General features: G+C 51.4%; 1 protein-coding gene across 3 annotated transcripts in view, besides 2 other annotated features; it reads left to right on the top strand.

Annotated features, from left to right (window-relative positions):
* The window catches only part of LETM1 (leucine zipper and EF-hand containing transmembrane protein 1), a 44,678-nt gene that overhangs the window by 1,194 nt on the left and 19,025 nt on the right, over nt 1-24,459 (top strand). For 2 of the 3 annotated variants that reach the window (XM_006713884.2, NM_012318.3), the window contains exons 2-6: nt 5,754-5,814; nt 13,166-13,616; nt 18,391-18,534; nt 19,981-20,118; nt 22,016-22,219. In XM_006713884.2, coding sequence (XP_006713947.1) covers nt 5,754-5,814; nt 13,166-13,616; nt 18,391-18,534; nt 19,981-20,118; nt 22,016-22,219 — 998 coding nt within the window. Of the gene's footprint in view, nt 1-5,753; nt 5,815-10,052; nt 10,615-10,723; nt 13,617-18,390; nt 18,535-19,980; nt 20,119-22,015; nt 22,220-24,459 lie in introns of those variants that run through there. The other variant, XM_047415673.1, reaches the window with a different exon arrangement.
* Nucleotides 165-341: a silencer, noted in NCBI's record as "fragment chr4:1856349-1856525 (GRCh37/hg19 assembly coordinates)". NCBI's record gives its function as "represses an EF-1alpha promoter that drives an FKBP-Casp9 reporter gene in an ReSE screen in K562 erythroleukemia cells {active_cell/tissue: K562}" and the evidence as "EXISTENCE:reporter gene assay evidence [ECO:0000049][PMID:32094911]".
* Nucleotides 12,105-12,355: a silencer, noted in NCBI's record as "fragment chr4:1844335-1844585 (GRCh37/hg19 assembly coordinates)". NCBI's record gives its function as "represses an EF-1alpha promoter that drives an FKBP-Casp9 reporter gene in an ReSE screen in phorbol 12-myristate 13-acetate-treated (for megakaryocytic differentiation) K562 erythroleukemia cells {active_cell/tissue: K562(+PMA)}" and the evidence as "EXISTENCE:reporter gene assay evidence [ECO:0000049][PMID:32094911]".

Here is a 24,459-nt window from a genome sequence, read left to right as displayed (position 1 = left end):
CTCCTGCTTTGGCCTCCCAAAGTGCTGGGATTACAGGAGCCACCATGCCCAGGCACCCAGCTTCAATATTCTTGTCTCTGTTCCCCACCCCCAAAGAGATAGATTGAAGTTGCCCTGAATGTATCCTCCCAATTCTTGTTTTTTTTTGTTTGTTTGTTTGTTTGTTTTTAAAGACAGAGTCTCAATCTGTTGCTCAGGCTAGAGTGCAGTGGTGTGATCTTGGCTCACTGCAACCTCCACCTCCTGGGTTCAAGTGATTCTCTTACCTCAGCCTGCCGAGTTGCTGGAATTATAGGCACCCGCCATCACGACTGGCTAATTTTTGTATTTTTAGTAGAGACTGTTTTCTCCGTCTTGGCCAGGCGGGTCTCGAACTCCTGACCTCAGGTGATCCACCCACCTCGGCCTCCCAAAGTGCTGGGATTACAGGCGTGAGCCACCGCGCCCGGCCCCCAATTCTTGTAATTTTTTTTTTTTTTTTTTGAAATGGAGTCTCGCTCTGTCATCCAGGCTGGAGTGCAGTGGCATGATCTCGGCTCACTGCAACCTCTGCCTTCCAGGTTCAAGCGATTCTCCTGCCTCAGCCTCCTGAGTAGCTGGGATTACAGGCGCACACCCTCATGCCTGGCTAATTTTTGTATTTTTAGTAGAGATGGGGTTTCACCATGTTGGTCAGGCCGGTCTTGAACTCCTGACCTCGTGATCCACCCACCTCAGCCTCCCAAAGTGCTGGGATTACAGGCGTGAGCCACCTCGCCTGGCCAATTCTTGTAATTTTTACAATAATGGCTGGTTAGCCACTGAAACTTTTGGAGTGGTGAGAGGATGTTGAGTGGTGGAACTGCACAGTCTGAAGGTGGAGCTCAGCATGTGGTCTTTCCAGTTGCTGTGTTAGATGTTAGAGCTCTCTCTGGACCTCTTGATGGTGATAAAAGTACTTTTAACACTTCGTGCTTATTATCAGATTTTTGATAAATAATAATAATAATTAGCTTTTTATGTGCGATTCTGTCATTTCAGGAACACAAATGTCTTCTGTAGTTACTACTGTGCTTTGTGACAGGGACACTGGCAGGTCTGCTGTAGAAACAGTAGGGATTTCAGAGCCAGCGAGACCCAGGGCTGGACTGTGGAGGAGGTCCCTGAACTGATGAGTGATACACCGAGTGGAGTGCTGCAGGCCCCTGCTATTAACATCTTAGATGAGTAGGGTTCGTTGTCACAGTTAATGAACTGACCTTGATCTGTTACTGTTCACTAAAGTCCATAACATATTCAGATTTTCTTTACTCTCCCGTTCTCCATTCTGAGGTCCTTTTTCTGTCCCAGGACCCATCTGTACCACCCTTCTTGATTGCCTCTCAGGCTTTCCTTGTCTGCAGTGACCTTGACAGCTTTGAGGAGTACTGCCCAGGTGGAGTGTAGGGTGCTGCTCTACTGGTATTTCTTGATGTTTCCTCATAATTAAGCTGGGAAAGATGGTTTTTCAGGAGGAAGACCACAGAGGTGAAGCATCCTTATCATATCCCGCCGAGGCTCCATGCTGTCCAAATGATTTGTCACTGTTGATGTTGACCTTGATCAGTAGGCTGAAGTGGTGTTTGTCAGGTTTTTCACTGCCCAGTTACTCTTGTCCCACCTCCCCATTTGTCCTTTTTGGGAGGAAGTCGCTTTACGAGCAGAAGCAGGGCTGACTCCAAGGGCTGTGTGGGAGAGGGGGCCTCTGGCCTGAGCCGCCTGGGGACAACAGTGAGGGCTGTGTGGGAGAGGTGGCCTCTGGCCTGAGCCGCCTGGGGACAACAGTGCCATTTGTTGAAACTGGGGAGGACTTGGGGAGGAGCAGAATGAGGAGGGGCGCTAGTTGAGAGTTCTTGGAGGTGTGGACTGTGCCGTGCCCATCAGACCTGTGGGGCGTGTGTATTCAAGTCAGGGAAGAGATTGCCTGGGGAGGAGGTGGAGGTCAGGTAGGGAGGCTCTCCCAGGAGTGGCAAGGGTGAAGCCAGGTGAAGAAAGGTTTGTTTGTTCTTTGACCTGATCCTGGCACCAGCACTGAGGGCTGAGAACCCTGGAAGTTTCCTGAATGATGGGAGTGTCTTTTTTCATTTGTTTGTATTTTGAGACAGGGTCTTGCTCTGTCACCCAGGCTGGAGTGCAGTAGCTTGATCATGGCTCACCACAGCCTCCAAGCGATCCTCCTGCCAGCTGATGTTTTAACATTTTTGTAGACAGGGTCTCTGTTGCTCAGGCTTAACTCCTGAGCTCAACAGCGATCCACCTGCCTTGGCCTCCCAAAGTGCTAGGATTACAGGCGTGAGTTTGGGAGTGTCTTCTGTTATTCGTTATCACTGCACCTGAGTTTATGCTGATGAGGTGACTCCAGGCAGGCCCTTAGATAGATTGAGGTGCTGGCCATGCTGTGATTAGAGGGTGGGAACTTCCTGCCCCTTCCAGGGAGGCGAGAGGGTTTGGAGATTTAGTTCAGTCCCCATGGCCAGTGGGCCAATACTGTAATCAGTCATGAAGCCTTGATGAGAACTTCTGGGTGAGGAGGCTGGTGAGGCTTCCCACTGGCGTCCACCTAGCTCCACAGGACAAAGGATCCTGTGCTCGGGACCTCCCTGGCCATGCTGTCTGGTTGTTCCTAGGTACCAGGTACCCTTTATAATAAACTGTGACAGTAAGTAGAGCCCATTGCTGACATCTGAGTCATTCTTGTGAATGATCAAAACCAAGGCGGTCATGGGAACCCTCAAATGTGTGGTCAGCTGAAGTTGGGTAAGCCTGGGCACATGGAGTGGGGGCAGTCTTGTGGGACTGAGCCCGTACCCTGTGAGGTCTGCACTAACTCTGGGTAGTGTCAGTATGGAATTAAATTGTTGGACTCCCAGTTGGAGAATTCGTTGGTGTTGGAAAAAAGAACAGAAGGGCTCCCAGCAGGGCCTGGGCACAGATGACACCTGTGCTCGTGAGGGACGTGGAGCAATGATCCCCATCACCCCGAACGGCCTTGACTGGGGGTTCCTTGGAGAGCTGGGGACAGAAGCCGTCAGAACAGGTTTTGGGGAGAGCCTAGTAAGGGAGCCAGTGGGACAGGCAGTGTTAGAGAGAAGGTAGGGTCACTGGGGGACAGATCAGGGAACTCTGGGAGACCTGCCAGCCTGCCTGCTTGCCGGGCGGAGCCCTTGAGGCACAGGAGCTGGCCGGGGCAGGGGTGGAGGGGCTGAAGGTGCCATGGTGTGGGGAGGATAGCGGAGAATGCGCTGGGCCCTCTTCATGTGGAGAAAGGTGGGGGCCAAAGCTAGTCTCAGCTGGAGTGAGAAGGGCCTTGGCATGCTCACGTGTGCTGTGCTTTGAATTTTAACTTAAAATGTAACTTGCTGTGTATGAGAACATAGCCAACATTTTCCCCTTAACCCAGCTCCCAGTTCACAGACCGGACTGTTACAAGCCCTAAATGTGGCACGTAGTAGGAATTTCCTTCCCCACAGAACCAGGAGAGTTGCCTCCTGTTAAATGAGGTGAAGTGACGTATCGGTCCACTAGGAGCAGGGTCAGTGCCTGCCCTCCCCATCTTGTTCGTCCTCTCACGGTGGCTCTCGTTGCCGGCTGGAGTGAGCTCCCCCCATCTTAAAGCTGCACTTGCTGCTCCCTGGCTGTTGACTCATTGCAACCCCACTGCTTGGAGGTTCAAGGTCACTGGGCATCTCAGGGTGCTACCTGCTGGCTCCCGGCACCGCCTAGCCTCTGCACAGCCTGGCCTGGCACCTCCGTGGGCTGGTGCCTCTGGCCCTGCTGCTCCTATTCCTGTCTTGTTCCCAGCATGAAGTTTGATCACAATGGGCTCTGAATGTCAGTAATACGAATGAACTCTGACTTTATGCTTATAGGAACTAGAGCAAGTTAGGGAAAGCATCAAAAACATGTTGAAATCCTAAAAATGTGCTGTACACTTATCACTGTTGTTTATACAAGAAATGGCTTACTCTTGGTGTTTTTGTGGTTCTTCTCTTTTTTTTTTTTTTTTTGAGTGCAATGGCGCGATCTCAGCTCACTGCAACCTCTGCCTCCCGGAGGGTTCAGGTGATTATCCTGCCTCAGCCTCCCGAGTAGCTGGGATTACAGGCACCTGCCATCATGTCCGGCTAATTTTTTTTTATTTTTGTGGAGATGGGGTTTCACCATGTGGGCCAGGCTGGTCTTGAACTCCTGACCTCAGGTGATCCACCCGCCTCAGCCTCCCAAAGTGCTGGGATTACAGGCGTGAGCCACCATGCCCGGCCTGTGGTTCTAGTAATTCTTTTTTTTTTTTTTTTTTTTTCTGAGACAGAGTCTTGCTCTGTCGCCCAGGCTGCAGTTCAGTGGTGCGATCTCAGCTCACTGCAAGCTCCGCCTCCCGGGTTCACGTCTGTGCTGGGATTACAGGCGTGAGCCACTGCGCCCGGTCCGGTTGTAGTAATTCTTACAGCTCTTGCCCCTTGGGATCATTGCTTGCTCTATAGGGCTGTCTGCATAGAGGTCATGTTTCCACCAGAGCCAGCTGAAGTGAGTGGGGATGGTGCCACCGGTAGGAGTGCTCCCTCCCTAGGGCTGGCCTGCTTGGCTTCCCTCTTGGGGTGTCTGGAGTCAGGATCTACTTGAGGCTTCCCATCTTTTTTTAGGACTACTTTGAGATACTGTTTTCATAACTGGGGCAGACCCTTCACTTAGCAGTGCTCTGAAACCTTCCAACACTCAGAACTGGCTTCCAGAAACTTACAGAGGTTTCTACAAAAGAGATCTGTACTCTTTCAGATTTTTTTTTTCTTTTTGAGACGGAGTTTCACTCTTGTTGCCCAGGCTGGAGTGCAATGGTGCGATCTCAGCTCACTGCAACCTTTGCCTCCCAGGTTCAAGCTATTCTCCTGACTCAGCCTCCCAAGTAGCTGGGTTTACAAGCATGTGCCACCATACCCGGCTAATTTTGTATTTTTAGTAGGGATGAGGTTTCACCGCTGGTCAAGCTGGTCTTGAACTCCTGGCCTCAGGTGATCCACTCGCCTTTGCCTCCCAAAGTGCTGGGATTACAGGCGTGAGCCACGGCGCCCCGCCTTCTTTCAGACTTAAAAGAAGGTTTCAGGCTGGGAGTGGTGGCTCACGCCTGTAATCCCAACACTTTGGGAGACCAATGCAGGAGGGTCGCTCGAGGCCAAAAGTTGGAGACCAGCCTAGGCAACAAAACGAAACCCCGTCTTTACAAAAATTAGCCTGGCCTGATGGTGCACACCTGTAGTCCCAGCTACTTGGGAGGCTGAGGCAAAAGGATCCCTTGAGCCCAGGAGTTCAAGGCTGCAGGGAGCCGTGACTGTACCACTGCATTCCAGCCTGGGCAAAGTCAAATAAATCAAAATGAACAAAAGGCTGAGCACGGTGGCTCATGCCTGTAATCCCAGCACTTTGGGAGGCCAAGGCGGGCGGATCACCTGAGGTCGGCAGTTTGAGACCAGCCTGGCCAACATGGTGAATGAAACCCTGTCTCTACTAAAAAAAAAAAATTAGCTGGGCATGGTGGTGGGCACCTGTAATTCCAGCTACTCAGGAGGCTGAGGCAGGAGAATCAATTAAACCCAGGAGGTGGAGGTTGCAGTGAGCCGAGATCACGCCATTGCACTCTAGCCTGGGCGCAAGAGCGAAACTCCAAAAACCAACAACAAAAAAAGGTATCAGTATAAATCCCTGATTTACTACTCATTTATTTTCCCCTGTTCCTGTTACAGGTAGTCCAGGGGATCCTGCTCATCTCAGCTGTGCCAGCACCCTGGGGTTGAGGAACTGCCTGTGAGTAAATCAGTATCACTCTGCACCTGTCTGTTTGAAAACAGGGTTTGAAAATGGTGGAGAGTCACGAGTGACTCTTGATTTTTGAGGGAAACAGTGTATCCTACTTTCCTGTTCTTTGTTTCTTTTAAACCTTTATCTTTCCATTTTGAAAATGATTGTCACATGCCTCAGTGAATCTATAGACAGTATAGAAACATTCCTAACCTCAGTGCCCAGTTGCACTTGGAGAGCTGGGGACAGAAGGCTTCCTGTCCCCTAACAGGAATTAAATGGAATTTAATTGTTGGACTCCCAGTTGGAGTGGGCACTGGCAACTGTGCCCTCAAAGTGCCCAGTGTCAGTATTTTGATGTACAGCAAGTCTCATTTAATGTCTGTAGGTTCTTGGAAACTGCGACTTTTTTTTTTTCTTTTTTTTTTTTTTTTTTTTTGAGACAGAGCCTTGCTCTGTCACCCAGACTGGAGTGCAGTGGCACATGCTTGGCTCACTGCAACCTCCGCCTCCCAGGTTCAAGTGATTCTCCTGCTTCAACCTCCCGAGTAGCTGGGATTGCAGGCATGCCTCACTGCGCCTGGCTAATTTTTTTTTTTTTTTTTTTGAGACGGAGTCTCGCTCTGTCACCCAGGCTGGAGTGCAGTGGCGCAATATCAGCTCACTGCAAGATCCACCTCCCGGGTTCATGCCATCCTCCTGCCTCAGCCTCCCAAGTAGCTGGAACTACAGGCGCCCGCCACCACGCCCGGCTAATTTTTTGTATTTTTAGTAGAGATGGGGTTTCACCGTGTTAGCCAGGATGGTCTCAATCTCCTGACCTCGTGATCCGCCCGCCATGGCCTCCCAAAGTGCTGGGATTACAGGCATGAGCCACCGCGTCCGGCCGCACCTGGCTAATTTTTGTATTTTTATTAGAGACGGGGTTTCACCATGTTGGCCAGGCTGGTCTTGAACTCCTGACCTCCCGTGATCTGCCTGCCTTAGCCTCCCAAAGTGCTGGGATTATAGGTGTGAGCCACCATGCCTGGCAGAAACTGCAACTTTAAGGTCCACGAATAACGTTTTATTATAACTTTGGATGAGAAAAGAAATTGGTTTTCTTATGTCTTTTTCCTTAAGGTTGCATTTTCTTTTTTTTTTTTATTTTTATTTTTTTTGAGACAGAGTCTCGCGCTGTCACCAAGCTGGAATGCAGTGGCGTGATCTCTGCCCACTGCAATCTCCACCTCCCGGGTTCAAGCAGTTATCTGCCTCAGCCTCCCAAGTAGCTGGGATTACAGGCGCGCACACCACACCCAGCTAATTTTTTTTTTTTTTTTTTTTTTTTGAGACCGAGTTTTGTTCTTGTCACCTAGGCTAGAGTGCAGTGGTGCAATCTCGGCTCACTGCAACCTCTGCCTCCCGGGTTCAAGCGATTCTCCTGCCTCAGCCTCCCTAGTAGCTGGGATTAGAGACGCCGCCACCACACCCAGCTAATTTTTGCATTTTTAGTACAAAAGTACAAAATTTTCACCACATTAGCCAGGCTCATCTCAAACTCCTGACCTCAGATGATCCACCTACCTCGGCCTCCCAAAGTGCTGGGATTACAGGTGTGAGCCACTGCGCCTAGCTGCTCCCGTTATTTTCTTTAGTGAGTTCTCCAGCAGTTGTTCCTCCCTGGGGACCAGTTCCCCCAAACCTCGTCAGTCTGGACCTTCCTTCTAGATGAGCTGAACCATTTTACTTCTAAAACAGTCTTTTTGGGATTGTATCTGAAGTGTCATTAAACCAGTTGGGAAGGAATATTACTTTTTTTTTTTTTTTTGAGACAGGATCTCATTCTGTTCATTGCCCAGGCTAGAGTGCAGTGGTGCAATCATGGCTCACTGCAGCTTTGATCTCCCAGGCTCAAGCCATTCTCCCACCTTAGCCTCCTGAGTAGCTGGGACTACAGGCATTACCAACATGCCTTGCTAAATTTTTTTCTTTTTGGTATTTTTTGTAGAGACAGGTTCTCACTATGTTGTCCAGGCTGCTCTTGAACTCCTGGACTCAAGCAGTCCTCCTGCCTTTGGCCTCCCAAAGTGCTGGGATTACAGGTGTGAGCCACTGCACCCGGCCTGTTTTCTTTGTATAGGCCACATGCATTGCATTTTAGATAATTCCCAGATGTTTATTATTTTCATTAATTCTTTTCATTATCTTTTCTAAGTGATCATTGCTGTCCCGTAAGTTGCTAAGTTGTACAATTTTCTTGTATCTGGCCCCTTTCCTGTTATTTGTTCAGCTCTTGTAGCAGCCCAGGTTTAGTTTATGGCTGTGATCTTAGTACATAGTAATCATCTGCCTCTTCTTTCCCAGGGCTTCTGCTTCTGAGGTGGTTTCATTTCTTAGCTCAGTAGCCAGATCTGTGTCAGAACAGCTGTAGTCAGTCATGCGGTATCACAATAGCAGAAAATACAGGATCTAGTGTTTGTGACATATGATGTTAGCTTTTGGGTTTAAGTAATCTTTGTTCTGTCTGTTACTCTTTTTATTAGGAATGGATGTTGAATTTGTCAAGCAACTTTTTAGCATTTAAATTTCATACTAAAACATAAATGCTGGCCGGGCACGGTGGCTCACACCTGTAATCCCAACACTTTTGGAGGCTGAGTCGGGAAGATCACGAGGTCAAGAGTTCAAGACCAGCCTAGCCAACATGGTGAAACCCCATCTCTAATAAAAATACAAAAATCAGCTGGGCATGGTGGTATGTTCTTGTAATCCCAGCTACTCAGGAGGCTGAGGCAGGAGAATTGCTTGAACCGGGACCCGGGAGGTGGCAGTTGCAGTGAGCCAAGATGGCGCCACTGTACTCCAGCCTGGGCTAACAACAAAACATAAAAGCTGTACTTTATTCACGTAACTTTTTTTAAAGTTCCCAATTTTGAACATCTACTTAAAAATTTAAACAATGAGGACTGTACAGCTGTTTTGATGGACTTGTCTACTTATCAAGAATTATGGATGAGGCCGGGCGCAGTGGCTCACGTCTCTAATCCCAGCACTTTGGAAAGTTGAGGTGGGCAGATCACTTGAGGCCAGAAGTTCAAGACCAGCCTGGCCAACATGGTGAAACCCCATCTCTACTAAAAATACAAAAATAACTGGGTGTGATGGTGCGCGCCTGTAGTCCCAGGTACTTGGGAGGCTGAGGCAGGAGAATCCCTTGAACCCAGGAGGTGGAGGTTGCCGTGAGCCAGGATCACACCGCTGCACTCCAGCCTGGGCAACTGAGGGAGAGTCTGTCTCAAAAAAAATAATAATATAATAATTATGGATGAGGCAAGGTGCAGCGGCTCATGCCTGTAATCTCATGCCTGTAATCCGAGGCGGGCAGATCACTTGAGGTTAGGAGTTCAAGACCAGCCTGGCCAACATGGCGAAACTTCATCTCTACTAAAAATACAAAAATTACCTGGGCGTGGTGGCACATGCCTATAATCCCAGCTACTTGGTGGCTGAGGCAGGAGAACTTCGTGAACCTGGAAGGTGGAGGTTGCAGTGAGCCCAGATTGTGCCACTGCACTCCAGCCTGGATGACAGAGCAAAACTGTGTCTCGAAAAAAAAAAAAAAGAAAAAAAAAAGAAAAAAGAATTATGGATGGTGGTAATGTTTCAGCAGCCAAAAAATTTTACTTTTTATTTGGTCACACAATATAAACACCTTTGCATTTTTAGTACAAAAATACAAAGTTTTCACCACATTGGCCAGGCTCATCTCGAACTCCTGACCTCAGGTGATCCACCTACCTCGGCCTCCCAAAGTGCTGGGATTACAGGTGTGAGCCTTGTAGTCACCAGATAAGTAGCTATAAATGGTAACCATTTACATTAGTTTTTGTAAACAGTTATTTTACAGATGCAGGTAATCCTCAGATGAAATGGCCCAGATCTCTGAGGGTGAGTAGGTGGATCATTTTTTTCGGGGGGTGCGGGGGACAGAGTCTCACTCTATCGCCCAGGCTGGGGTGTAGTGGCACAATCTCAGCTCACTGCAACCTCCGCCTCCCAAGTTCAAGCAATTCTCCTGCCTCAGCCTCCCGAGTAGCTGAGATGATAGGCGTGTGCCACCATGCCCAGCTAATTTTTGTACTTTTAGTAAAGACGGGGTTTCACCATATTGGCCAGGCTGGTCTCAAACTCCTGACCTCGTGATCTGCCCGCCTCGGCCTCTCAAAGTGCTAGGATTACAGGCGTGAGCCACTGTGCCTGGCCTTTTTTTTTTTTTTTTTTTTTTTCTGTAGAGACAGGGTCTCACTATGTTGCCCAGGCTGGGTTCGAACTCCTGGACTTGAGCAGCGCTCCTGCCTTGGCCTCGTGCAGTGCTGGGATTACAGGTGTGAGCCATGGTGCCCAGCTGATAGAGCATTTTTTTTTTTAAGACAGTCTCACTCTGTCACCTAGGCTGGAGTGCAGTGGCACAATCTCGGCTCACTGTAGCCTCTGCCTCCCTGCAGCCTCCACCTCCCGGCTTCAAGCAGTTCTCACGCCTCAGCCCTCCAAGTAACTGAGATTACAGGTGTGTGCCACCACGCCTGCTAATTTTTGTAGTTTTAGTAGAGACAGGGTTTCACTATGTTGGCCAAGCTGGTCTTGAACTCCCAGCCTCAAGTGATCCACCCACGTTGGCCTCCCAAAGCTCTGGGATTACAGATGTGAGCCACTGCGCCCTGCTGGAGTATTTTCGATCCAAGAGAACATCGTGGACATTATGTAGCAGCTTCCAGCCTTCTTTCTCATAGAAACAAAGGCAGAGAAGCAGCACCCAGACTTTGGGTAAGCAAACTGTAAGACAGCAGTTGTGAGACCCAGCAAACTTGAATCTCACTCAGTGGGGAAACCTCAGCTGATGTGAGGCTATTTTTATTTCTAAATCTGTACTTAGCGTGAATGCTGATGGGATTTGCCGGGGGATGTTACTGTGGTGAGGACCAGGCCCCTGCAGGTGTGCCCAACTCTGGATGGCTCCCTGCCTTCACTGAGTCCATCGTGTGCTTCTCTGCCTGGTCTGTTTTTCCGAGTCTTCGTCTTTGCCTGTCGACACCCCGTGACTGCTGGCATCATGCCTTCTTGTGGAAGCCACCATCGTCCTTGCTAACTGAGGGTTGTGGAGTTGTGTAATTCAGCTTGATGCAGGGAGGAGGTGTATTCCCATGTGTGGGCACTGTCATCACCCACACAGGGAGGTGAGCCCACCTCACAGAAGGAACACAGCCTGGCCAGGGGGCAGTCTGAGCCTGCGTGGGCTCTGCTGCATTCTGTGTGGCTCGGCTCTCGGCACGCCTTGACTCAAGACTGCATGGATTCAGGGGCCCCTTCCTGGCTCAGAGGTGACCCCAGAGCTGAGGAGAACCTAGAGACATGGTGGCTGGGGCTGGGCCAGCGCCTGGAGAGAGTCTGAAGCTGCCCTCACAGGGATTGGGGAGGTGACCGAGGTGGGGTGCCTGTCCCCCTTCCCACCCCTCCCAGGCCTCATTGGTGTCCACCAGGCACCTTCCACGTGTCTATTTCCCGTATTCTTGAGAACCTCTCCGTGAGGTTAGTGTTGGGTTTGCATGTCTGTAATTGAGGGAAGATTTTGAGCCTGGGAGAGTTTTTGGGGGAGGTCCCCAGACCATTACTGGTGCAGAGTGGAGCCCCTGCTGCTCTGGCTTCTGATCCTGGTGTGTGCTCGCTCTAAGCTGCCCTGGGCTGACAGTGCCCTGCACCAGCCGCACTGCCCTCTCTGGGCTGCAAGCCGAGGATCCCCATCTGAGAAACAAGCAGCGGGTCCAGAGAGTTCCCCGCCTGGCTTCCAGCCCTGATTGGTGGCTTCTCCGAGGCTGCAAGGCGGTGGTAATCACGAGAGCCACGTCGTTGGTGGGTGTTCCCATGTTGCAGGTACCGTCCTGGTACTTAGTATCTGTTAACACACAAATTCACGAGGAATGCTCCCAAAGCACAGAGAGGTTAAATTACTCAGTCTAAGGTCACGCAGCAGTAAGTAATGGAGCTGGAATTTGAGCTCTAACAGTCTGCTCCGGAGCTCGGGCCTTGCTGCTGGCGTCAGGCCATGCACAGAGAGCTGATGGAAGCAGGAGGAGCTGATGTGAAGTTATGCGACACACATGGCCTTTTAGGTGAGCTCGGGCCACCCGGGGGGATTTGTGTCCAATCAGCAGGGGAGTTTCTAGTGTGCCAGGCAAGACACGCAGGAGATCGTGAGGCTGAATGGGCCTCGCGCAGGTCAGCTGTTTGAATTTTGGACTGTAAATGGTGGTGTGGCACCACGCTGCGGTCAGATGATGGTCTCTGTGTTGCACACAAACCATAGGTTCTGGGCCAGGCATGGTCTATGCTGCAGAAGCTTAGGCTGCAGTGGCCTCCTCAAGGCCTTTCTGTGGGTGGATATGGCACAGGCGGCAACTGGGGCCGATGCAGCGTGGACCGAGATGGGTCTGGGTTAGTGCCAGCCTCCCACTGCTGCCTGTGAGGCCTCGAGCCTGCTCTCTGGCCCTCGGTGGCCTACATTCCAGTTGGGAGAAAGCAAATGTGGTGCACACAGTGTGCACCTGGTCTCTAAGACGGCCAGATGTCAGCAGGGCACCCGCTAGGAGGCAGCACTGTGGATGAGAGGCAAGAGCGGTGGAGTGGTCAGGGAGGTCTGAGTGAAGCAAGGGCATGAGCTAGGGATGTCCAGGCGGGGGGGCAGGTGTGAGGCTCTGGGCTTGGAGCCTGCTGGTGCCGGACAGAGTGGGCAGGTGGGTAGAGGAGGAGGAGATGGGCCTTGGCCCTTATTCTTTGGATTTTGTTGTTTTGCTCTGGTGCCTGCGGGCAGCTAGTGTAGAGGTCTGAGGTCAGCGAGCACCCTTACTGATTTGCAGGACTTGTTCAAGAGCCACGGATCTTTCCAGAAAGTCACTTGTTGGAGGAGAGGACCTCCAAAGTCAACAAAGTCTCTGCTCTGCACTCCATTCCCCCACGAAGTGCCAAAGCAATGCACCCTACCTCCCCAAGTCTCTGGGAGTGGGCCTGGGAGACCCACCCAGGGATCCAGCCTTTGCTGATTGTGTTTGTGTCTGACTTGCCTGCCTTTCTGTGGGGATCGCCCGCCCATGCTCCTGTCCGACGTGGTGTGGGGCTGAGGGGGCTGCACACTGTCCTGGCCTCCCTTCCGAAGGGCTCCCCAGCGGGCAGTGCAAAACGTCAGGAAGTAGGTGGGATTGTGTGTGGTTGTGACATGGCATGGCACGGGGCATGTGGGTTTTGCTGCTGTTGGTGTTCGGTGCTGAGCTGTCAAAGGCTAGTGCTGGCTCTTACTACTGTTTTCCACTCTTCCCTTTTCAAGGAATGTTCCATTTGGCTGCTGCACTCCCATCCACCCTGTGTACACATCCTCCAGAGGCGATCACCTCGGCTGTTGGGCTCTGAGGCCCGAGTGCCTTCGCATAGTGTCGAGAGCGCCATGGACCTCTACCTCTGTGGGTTTTGTGGCTGTGGGACCTCAGTGCCTTCCTGTGCGTGGCTGGCACTCTTCGCGCCCTGTTCGCGATGACTCGGTAGTAGAGAAGTCCCTCAAGTCCTTGAAGGACAAGAACAAGAAGCTGGAGGAAGGCGGCCCGGTGTACAGCCCCCCCGCAGAGGTGGTGGTGAAGAAGTCCCTGGGGCAGCGGGTGCTGGACGAGCTGAAGCACTACTACCATGGCTTCCGCCTGCTATGGATCGACACCAAGATCGCGGCACGCATGCTCTGGCGCATCCTCAACGGCCACAGCCTGACCCGCCGGGAGCGCAGGCAGGTAATGGGGACATGTCTAGTCCTTTCTTTTCTTTCTTGCTCTATCACCCAGGCTGGAGTGCAGTGGCGCAATTTCCTGGGCATGGGCGATCCTCCTGCCTCAGCCTCCCGAGTATCTGGGACCACAGGCATGTGCCACCACACCTGGCTAATTGTTTTTTATAGATCCAGGGTCCCACTTTGTTGCCCAGGCTGGTCTCAAGCTCCTGGGCTTAAATGATCCTCCCACCTCAGCCTCCTAAAGTGTTGGGATTACAGGTGTGAGCCACCGTGCTGGGCCGTGCCCAAATTCTTTTCACTCTATAGATTGCTTGAAAAATATTTTTAGTGCTTGCTTTCTGTTTGGTAGAGAATAAAAATCGGTAAAACCTATTGCCTAGGAAAAACTTGGTTTACCTGTGTATTTCCTCTACCCTCCACCACAACAGTCATCAACATAGAAGACCACGCAGCAGACACCAGCTGGGTGTCCTCTGATTTAGTTCTGATACTGTCTACCCAGAGATAACATCAGATCCCACAGGGTGAGGGCTCTGTCCCCAAGGTGCCCCCTACCAGTCTCAAGTCCAGGCCTCTCGGAACTTCTGACAGACTGGCTTCAAGTTAGGTTCCCACCACCCCCGCTTCGTTTTTTTTTTATTATTATTATTTTTATATTTATTTGTTTATTTATTTATTTTTTGAGATGGAGTCTCACTGTCGCCCAGGCTGGAGTGCAGTGGTGCGATCTCGGCTCGCTGCAGGCTCCGCCCCCCGGGGTCCACACCATTCTCCTGCCTCAGCCTCCCGAGTAGCTGGCACTACAGGCACCCGCCACCACGCCCGGCTAATTTTTTGTATTTTTAGTAGAGACGGGGTTTCACCGTGTTAGCCAGAATGGTCTTGATCTCCTGACCTCATGATCTGCCCACCTCGGCCTCCCAAAGTGCTGGGATTACAGGCGTGAACCACCGCGCCCAACCTTATTTTTTGAGGCAGAGTCTCACTCTGTTGCCCAGGCCTGAGTGCAGTGGCACAATCTCGGCTCACTGCAACCTCCGCCTCCTGGGTTCAAGTGATTCTCCTGCCTCAGCCACCTGAGTAGCTGGGACTACAGGCATATACCATCACACCCGGCTAATGTTTGTATTTTTAGTAGAGAGGGGTTTCACCGCGTTGGCCAGGCTGCTCTCGAACTCCTGGCCTCAAGTGATCCACCTGCCTTGGCCTCGCAAAGTGCTGGGATTATAGGCGTGGGCCACTGTGCCTGGCCCCCTCTTTGTTTTTAAATTGTTTTGTTTTTGTGGGTACATAGTAGGTATACGTATTTATGGGCTACATGAGGTGTGACACCCACCCCCACCCCTTTGGGTTTGATTAATTTGCTGGAGCGGCTCACAGAACTTAGAGAAACACTTAAATTTATCAGTTTACTATAAAGCATAGTGCAAAGGATGCAGGTCAAGAGACCGTAAGGCAAGGTATGTACGGGGAAGGGGCATGGATCTTCCATGCTTCCCAGGGTGCAACCCCCGGTGAACCTCTACCGTGTTCAGCTTTCTGGAAGCTCCTTGAACCCAGTCCTCTTGGGCATTCCTTCCCTCAGGGAATAGGACGGAACCCTCTTTAGGGAGGGTCTTAAAACCCATAGTCAGGAAGTTGGGAAGATTAGTGACCTGCCTTAGGGCAGGTGAAAGGAGGGTAGAGAGGTCAGAGGCCTGCCCCCAAGGCCTGACACACCTAACATTATCACAAGACTGTAACAAGGGCAGTAGAGCCAGGAACCAATACCTGTCATAACTAACCACACCTATGGAAAGGCGCACCTCGCCACTGAATTGAATTGCAACACCGTCTGCTCCTGCTTCAACTCTTTCCCAGCAGCAGTTTTCAGCACACAGCTCCACCCACTCTCGATGCCTTCACCCTCTTGATGCCTTGCCCTGGCTCTCCACTGCTGTTTCCTGGGAGGGGTCTGCATCTGCACAGGTGCACCTCTGCTGCAGGTGCAGGCCCTTTCTGTCTTAACTGCTTCAACGTCTGTCTGGAGGGGCTGCGCGTGTCCCTCTGGGTGAGTTGTTTTTATTTTTGGGATCCGTGCTTCTGACCCCAAGGTTCCACATCTGCCATCTGTGATAGAACCTGCTCGCTCACCAGTGCCCAGGCTCTCGGGGCTCCTGGTTTGTCCTCTGGTGCACCAGCTCCTGCTGTCCTTCACGGTTCTGAAAAGATTCTCCATTTTCTGTCTTTGTTTCAGGGCTGCAATCTAGATGTTTTCTTTCTATTTTATTCATTCTCTTTTCAGCTGAAGTAATCTTGTTTAATGCAGCCACCAAGGTTTTATTTTCAGTGCCTATGTTTTTAACTCTAGAAGCTCAATTAGTTTATTTTAAATTAATTTTTTAATTTAAAAGAGATGGAATCTCACTTCAGAGGGGTAAACCTTGTGTGATGTAGGTGGTGAGCTAGTTTCTTCAGCACAGATATTGTTTGCTTCTGTGAGAGCCATGGGACACCATGGGCCTCAGAGAGTGCAGCCCTATGTGGGAATCGAGTCCACTCTCTCCCAGGTGCAGCCTCATCTCCTGTCTGCTCCATCCTTTCCTCCCAAGAACACCTCATGGTTTCTAGCTCTTGGGGTTTATATTACGTTTTTGTGGCTCTACTATTTATTTACTTATTTTTATTTTTGAGACAGGTTCTCGCTCCCCCACCCAGGCTGGAGTGCAGTTGCAACCTCATGGCTAACCAAAGCCTCAGCCCTCCCGGGCATAAGGGATCCTCCTACCTCAGCCTCCAGTGTAGCTGGGACCACAGACGCACGCTGTCATGCCAGGCTAATTTTTAAATTTTTCGTAGAGACTGGGTCTCACTATATTGCCAAGGTTGGTCTCAAACTCCTGACCTCAAGCAGTCCTGCTGCCTCGGCCTCCCAAAGTGCTGGGAGGCCTTCCTTTTTAAAGATAATCCTGGCCGGGCGCAGTGGCTCACACCTGTAATCCCAGAACTTTGGGAGGCCGAGGCGGGCCGATCATGAGGTCAAGAGATCGAGACCATCCTGGCCAACACGGTGAAACCCTGTCTCTACTAAAAATACAAAAATTAGCCGGTCGTGGTGGCGGGCGCGTGTAATCCCAACTACTCAGGAGGCTGAGGCAGGAGAATCACTTGAACTCGGGAGGCAGAGGTTGCAGTGAGCCGAGATCGCGCCCACTGCACTGTATCCTGGAGACAGAGTGAGACTCCATCTCAAAAAAATAAAAAGTAAAAAAAAAGATAATCCTGTGCACTGAAATGTGCTCTAAAAGGTTGGGATTTGCAGTTCTGCTTTTGTGTTTACAAACATTTAAGAAGTTATTTTCTTGGTTGGGTGTGGTGGCTCACGCCTGTAATCCAGCACTTTGGGAGGCCAGTGCTGCAGATCACCTGAGGTCAGGAGTTTGAGACCAGCCTGGCCAACATAGTGAAACCCTGTCTCTACCAAAAATATAAAAAAAAATTAGCTAGGCGTGGTGGCGCATGTCTGTAATCCCAGCTACTCTGGAGGCCGAGGCAGGAGAATCGCTTGAACCAGGGAGATGGAGATACAATGACCCAAGATCAGGCGATTGCACTCCAGCCTGGGTGACAGAGCTAGACGCCATCTCAAAAAAAAAAAAAAAAAAAAAACTTGTAAATTTGGATTTTAGTGATGGTTTTGCAATGTATAAATTTACCAAAAATCATCAAATTTATTTAAAATAGTTGAATGTTATGGTATGTAAATTACACCTCAGTAGAACTGCTAAAAAAATTAATGAGGCATATCAAAAAACACATGTGCCAGCTTTAAGGATATGTCCTGCCCAAATATGGCACCGTTTGGGAATAAAGACAGCCGTAAATTGTAAATCAGTCAAAAAATACAGGAGTCCATGGGTCCAGTGCGATAAAAAAACAGAAAAATGAATGTATAGGAAGGCAGGGTTCTCCCCTCCTGCAGATGACAAGATAGGAGAGTTAGGCAGCCACTGTTTTGTGCCCATGAGAGTGGAGGCTGGCTCAATGAGCGCGGGGTCGGGAGAGAGGCTGATGAGGAGGAGGACATTGCTGCTCTCAGGGCGTCTCCCTGGGAACGCTCACTTGTTGCCAGTGGAAACGCAGGAAACGTAGGAACTACATGGAACACCTTGGCCAAGGGACCCCTGTGAGCAGCACCAAGGAGGGGCAGCATCACCCGCGCTGTTTTCCAGCAGTTGTTCAGGCTTCACAGGGATTTCTGATTATTTCAAATTGGATGTTTCTTTAATGGCATCAAGTACTAGTTTGTTTATGTCAATGAAATACTTGGGTTTTTTCCTAATGATTGCTTTGTAGTATAGTCTTAGGAAACACAAGAGAAGCCCTCCTTATAGAGCACCCTCCAAGAGAAGGTGTGGCTCAGCCTATCCTGGTGACTCTCCACCACGCTAGTAATGCCCAGTCCTCAGCCTGCAGCCCTCACTTGCTGGCCCCCGAGCCCAGAGTGCTGGCCGGTGTCCTCGGAGGACTCGATCGCTGGGAGCACCCAGTGGCCCTTGGTGTCAGCACCATACCCTGCTTTTCTGGAGGCTGCTGGTACCTGCTTTGGACCCTGAGAAAGAAGTGGGTTTTGGGAATGGTCTGCTAAGTGGTTCTGGAACTTAGAGTCCTCAGTGGGTCCTGTGAGTCGCTGCCTGAGGTTGTGCCTATAAACCATTATAGGAGAAATGCTCACACCCCTTGCCCTTGTTCCCACATGTGCTCTGCTCCCCTCTGATGGATTCCGCCCCTTCCAGTTTCTCCGGATCTGCGCTGACCTCTTCCGCCTGGTGCCGTTCCTTGTGTTCGTGGTGGTGCCGTTCATGGAGTTTCTGCTGCCTGTTGCTGTGAAGCTCTTCCCCAACATGTTGCCATCCACATTTGAGACTCAGTCACTCAAGGTAAGGGCAGCATCCCAACTGCTTGTTTTAGAATGAGTCTGAAATTCATTGTGATGGCTTCCTTGTTTGTGACTTTTCAGGTGCTAGATATTTTTGAGACTTTATGTATCTTCATATTGTCCTTGTGCTGTGCAATAATTATTTAGTGGATGCTGGGTTTTGGATTTGTTTCTCTTTATTTCGTTATTTATTTATTTATTTATTTATTTTTGAAACAGGGTCTCGCTCTGTCACCCAGGCTGGAGTGCAGCAGTGCGATCTTGTCTCACTGCATACAACCTCTGCCTCCCGGGTTCAAGCGAATCTCCTGCCTCAGCCTCCCAAGTAGCTGGGATTATAGGCATGTGTGCCACCATACACAGGTCTCGCCCTGTCACCCAGGCTGGAGTGCAGTGGTGCGATCACGGCTCACTGCAGCCTCAAGTTCCTGGACTTAAGTGATCCTCTTGTCTTAGCTCCCGAATAGCTGGGACTACAGGCTAAGCCACCACATCTGACTAATTTTTTTTTGTTTTTTATAGACAAGATCTGCTATGTTGCCCAGGCTGGTCTCAAACTCCTGGGCACAAGTAATCCTCTTGCCATGACCTCCCAAAGTGTTATTATGGGTGTGAGCCACTGCTTCCAGCTCAATGTATTTTAAAATACAGGTTTTCTAGACCAGGAACACTCCCCTACCGGTGCTATAGGGGAGTCATGAGGTCCTTCTAGGGCAGGGTCAGCCAGCTGCAGCCCACAGGCCAGATCAGGACCCTGCCTGTTCTCAGCAGAGCCCTGTGGGGACCTGCGATGCCCAGTCATGTGTCTTGTCTGTGAGGCACCAGCAGAGTTAAGCATTTGTTTTAGACCACACAGCCATGAAGGCCAGACGCCTTCCTGTCTAGCCCATTACGGAAAGTGTGCCGATCCTTGCTTTAGGGAATCACACGAGTTTGTTTGTTTTTGTTTGTTTGTTTGTTTGTTTTTGTTTTGTTTTTGTTTTTTTTTTGAGACGGAGTTTCGCTCTGTCACCCAGGCTGGAGAGTGCAGTGGTGCAATCTCAGCTCACTGTAGCCTCCACCTCCTGGGTTCAAGCGATTCTTGTGCCTCAGCCTCCCAAGTAGCTGGGATTACAGGTGTGCATGCCTGGCTAATTTTTGTGTTTTTAGTAGAGACGGGGTTTCACCGTGTTGGCCAGGCTGGTCTCAAACTCCTGACCTCAGGTGATCCACCCACCTTGGCCTCCCAAAGTGCTGGGATTACAGGCATGAGCCACTGTGCCCGGCCCACACGGGTACTTTTTAAAACCATGAAATAAAAGAGTTTGAGAATGTATTGCACTTAGATGAGAGTCAGTGTGTTGTGAAATGTTTCTGGGAGTGGGGGTCGGGCACAGGCGTGAGATGTTTTCCTTGCCCGAACCACAGTCTGAGCAGTTGGAATGCAGTGCCCTCTCTGCCCTTGCAGGAGGAGAGGCTGAAGAAGGAGCTTCGGGTCAAGCTGGAGCTGGCCAAGTTCCTCCAGGACACCATCGAGGAGATGGCCTTGAAGAACAAGGCAGCCAAGGGCAGCGCCACCAAAGACTTCTCTGTGTTTTTCCAGAAGGTGCTGTGATACGTCTGAGTCCCTGTGACCTCACCAGGGAGCCTTCCCTGATTTTCTGTTTCCCTTTCGCTGTGCTCAGCAGAGTGGAGCTCCCCCAGGTGCTGGCTGGCGCTTGAAAGTTTACCCAGGAGGCTCAGTCGGGGGCCAGTGGAGTGTCAGGAGTCTGCCCCCACGAGCTCCCAGTGAGTTAAGCTGTGGTGGCTGCGCCTCGTCAGCCTTCAGAATTATGGGCGTCTGTGTCTCATCACCCTGCAGCTGTCCAGGAGCAGTAGAATCTGACCCATGAGGAGCCTGAGACCCTGATGGTGTGAGGTGTGGGTGGCTTGGCCGGGCTCCTCTGCTGGGCATTGCCCTCTGGCTGGAGTCAGTCAAGAAGATCCCAGGTCCCAGGGGCTGGTCAGAGGCCTGGACTGTGGGAGCAGTGGGGGCTGGAGAGGAGGAGCGGCCCTTGAGGTTTCCTGCGGTCATGTGGTGAGTGAGGTGAGGATGGGGAGACGGCAGCTGCCACGGACCGAGATCCCTGAGGACTAGATGGGGTTCACGAGGCCGGTGTTGTTGGCTTGAGGGACTTGTGCCACTTTGGAGTGAGAAGGATGTGTCTGAAGTGCAGGAAGAGCTTAAACCAGGGCCTAGAAACTCCAGCCATGCGTGTGCGTTGTCTGTGGGGTTTTCCCGCTGCAGCACAGAGGCGAGTGGTTTCCATGGCTGCAAAGCCAGAAATACTTGCTGTCTGGCCCTTGACAGAAAAGACTGCCAGGCTGAGGCCTAACCACGGAGAAGCCTCTCGGGAGGAGGCGACACAGCCATGGGGCTGCTGAGCCCCCCAGGGAGTGGGTGGTGGTTCCAGCAAGATGTTTTAGGGGGAGCCATGCTTTGGGAGCCTCACCCAGGACATCGTGCCTTGCAGAGCAGGAGGGGCCCGTCCCAACCTTTCCTGGGCCGCCCAGCTGCCAAGAAGGATGTGCTTGCAGTCACCTGCACGGGGGTGTGCTGCATAGGGCCGCCCCCAGGAGCACACCTGAAATTGTGTCTCAGAGCTGGCATCCTGCATGTTACGATTTGAGTTGGGCACCAAGTCAGCCTCGTCCTCCCTCATCTGTCACCTCTGCTAGGTACCCTCCTAGCCCAGCTCTTGGCAGAGACTGAGCTGGTGGCTTGTCCCTCAGGTGGTAGGAACTGCAGAGGATCACCCAAAGGGCCCTGAGTGATCCACGCTAAGGGACTCTAGCTCTCCCTAAAGAGCTAGATGGCCACCCCTCCCCCAAGGCTCAGGCAGTCATCCGTGGGAGATGTAGGTGCACACAGGTGCACCTCTTCCTGCCCCAGAGCAGCAGGGTCCCGGCCACTTCTGTGGCAGAGAGAGGATCACAGGACCTGCATGCAGCAGCCTGTGGGCCCGGGCGTCTCCCCCAGCAGACAGCAGCCTCAGCTTTGCTGGTTCAGGCAGGAGAGGTCCACAGGCCAGACGCCACCTTTCCCCAGGCTAGCCCAGCACCGGAGTCAGAAGTCAGTGGTTTGAGGCCAAGCTGGGCAGGTGACTTGAGGTCGGGTATTTGAGACCAGCCTGGCCAACATAGTGAAATCCCATCTCTACTAAAATACAAAAATTAGCTGGGTGTGGTGGCGCAGCCTGTAATCCCAGCTACTCGGGAGGCTAAGGCAGGAGAATCCCTTGAACCCAGGAGGTGGAGGTTGCAGTGAACCGAGATTACACCACTGCATTCCAGCCTGGGTAACAGAGCGAGACCCTGTCTCAAACAAAAAAAAAAAAGAAGAAGTAGTCAGTGGTTTGAGTCCCTGAGGATGAGAGGCAGCACCCTTTGGGAATGTGGTTGGTCGTGGGAGGGAGCCGGGTGGGCGCGTGTCCCGGGGATGACCCTTGTGACCACTTCCGCAGATCCGGGAAACAGGGGAGAGGCCCAGCAATGAGGAAATCATGCGTTTTTCCAAATTATTTGAGGATGAGCTGACCCTGGACAACCTGACACGGCCGCAGCTGGTGGCCCTGTGCAAGCTGCTGGAGCTACAGTCCATCGGCACCAACAACTTCCTGCGCTTCCAGCTTACCATGCGGCTGCGCTCCATAAAGGCAGACGACAAGGTGAGCCTGGCCATACTCCGCGCCACAGCTCTGGTGTTTTACCTTTTCGTTTCCTGATGATAAAAGCAGCATGTCCTCATTGTAGAAACTCTGGAAGATGCTGAACGATCGAAAATAAGCTCACTAGGAGTCTTGCCACTTGCAGATTGCAGATCCTTTGAAGATGGATGTCTTTTCTCTGGCACCTTCTCGGATGATCTCTCTGTTTGGATTTCGTCAGATTTATAATAACTTGCTTAGTTGTGTCTGTCTTTGTGTTCATCCTGCTTATTGATGACAGTGCCTCTGTGCCTCTCTCCTCACATCAGGGTCTTCATCGAGGGTCCATTTGCCCCTTTGCCCTGTCCTGTCCATCGCACGTGCTTGCCTCTGTGCTTCACGCCCTTTTGTGCTTTCAGGGCGCTGCCCTCCTTCTAGGTCTGATTACTCCTTTTTTTTTTTGAGACGGTGTTTCGATCTTGTTGCCCAGGTTGGAGTGCAGTGGCGAGATCTCGACTCACTGCAACCTCTGCCTCCTGGGTTCAAGCGATTCTCCTGCCTCAGCCTCCAGAGTAGCTGGGATTACAGGCGCCCGCCACCATACCCGGCTATTTTTTGTATTTTTTAGTAGAGACAGGGCTTCATCACATTGGCCAGGCTGGCCTCAAACTCTGGACCTCAAGCGATCTGCCCACATCGGCCTCCCAAAGTGCTGGGATTACAGGCATGAGCCACTGTGTCCGGCTGGTTACTCTTTTATTCATACTAGGAGCTCTTAAGATTTCAGTTCTCAGGTAAAACTGTTCCTCTTGTCATCTGTCTTTTTGAATGCACTAACTCTAGTTCACATTGATTACTCTAATAACTGGGTGGTCCGTAGGCCTTTTTCTTTTGCTCTCCCTTCTGATTTTGTTTGTAGTGTTTAGTTTTTCCTGAATGCAGGCATTGTCTGTGGAAGACAAAGAGGTTCAGGGCAGTGTTGAACTCTTCCAGGAAGAGCCTGCCTGCATCTCTGGTGAGCAGGTTGAGGGCCAGTCATTTCCATGAATCAAGGCAAGGCCATGTGGGGAGCCTGTATCCCGCCCTTGCCGGGACACAACAGGCACCCCAGCCCTGGTGGTGATGGTGTCAGAGAAGGCTGAGGGGGCCAGCCCCTGTGGTGTCAGTGGAGACCAGGTGGGGGGCTTGAGCTTTCCTCTCATCTGACAGTGTATCCGCCACACTTCCCCACCACTGGGGTGGCCTTGGGGGCCCAGCGGAGAGTTGGGACTTTGACCACTGCCCAGCAGGAACAAGGTCACGTCTACCATGGTGCCAGTGGGAGCCAGGTGGGAAACAGTACTGAGATGCTTCTGCCCTCCTACTGGGGGAGACACCTGTGAGAGCCAGAACTCCCACCCACCCGTTCCCAGCGGTAGCAAGCAGCACCGCTGTCCCGCAGATGTCTGTGGAGGCTGGATGGGGAGCCTGCACTTCTTACGAGGCAGCGCTCCCACCACTTCTAAAATATGCCTGGGATTTAGCTTATGGATGTGAGTGAGTGACAACATGGAGAGGTCAATGCCATTGAGAGAAATGTGTTACCCACAGCTCCCCTGTCACTCAGCCCCACAAAACCTCCACACCCATGGGGAGCAGTAAGCTGGGGGGGACGATGGCTGCCTTCCTTGTCTGCAGTAGGTGGAGACATGTCTGACTGGGCAGGAAGGGAAACACAGACGTTAGGGTTTGTGGTTGGCCCATGAAAGCTGGACCATAGGGAAGTGGAAACAGCTTTGGCCTTGTTAGCTTGGTCCTGGGATTGGTAGATGCCAGATCATCAATTGCAAACTCTGTGCAAATTAGAATACCCACCGCCCATGCCACCATGCACCGGAGGAGGTCAGCTGCGACACACTGGAAGTCAGATCTAGAGTCAAGAAGCAGGAAGGTATCAGTGAATGAGAAAAAGCAACGCCTGGTACCAACCCTGAGATGACAGTTAGAGACCCTGCACCTGGGCCTCAAACAGCCACCAGCGCAGAGCTCCAAAAGCCACAACAGAGCAGAACATGTGAAAAACAGATCTGGGCAAAGAAAGAAAAGAAATATGTTATTAATAATATTAAAAGATATTGCGAGAAGATACTAAGGCCAGGCACAGTGGCTCACATCTATAATCCCAGCACTGTGGGAGGCCAAGGTGGGAGGACTGCTTGAGCCCGGTAGTTTGAGACCTTCCTGGGCAACATAGTGAGACCCCCCACCTCTACAAAAAAATT

This window comes from Homo sapiens, chromosome 4 (assembly GCF_000001405.40).
Source record: "Homo sapiens chromosome 4, GRCh38.p14 Primary Assembly".
Taxonomy (NCBI): Eukaryota; Metazoa; Chordata; class Mammalia; order Primates; family Hominidae; genus Homo; species Homo sapiens.
This window is presented reverse-complemented; position numbering and strand designations above follow the sequence as displayed.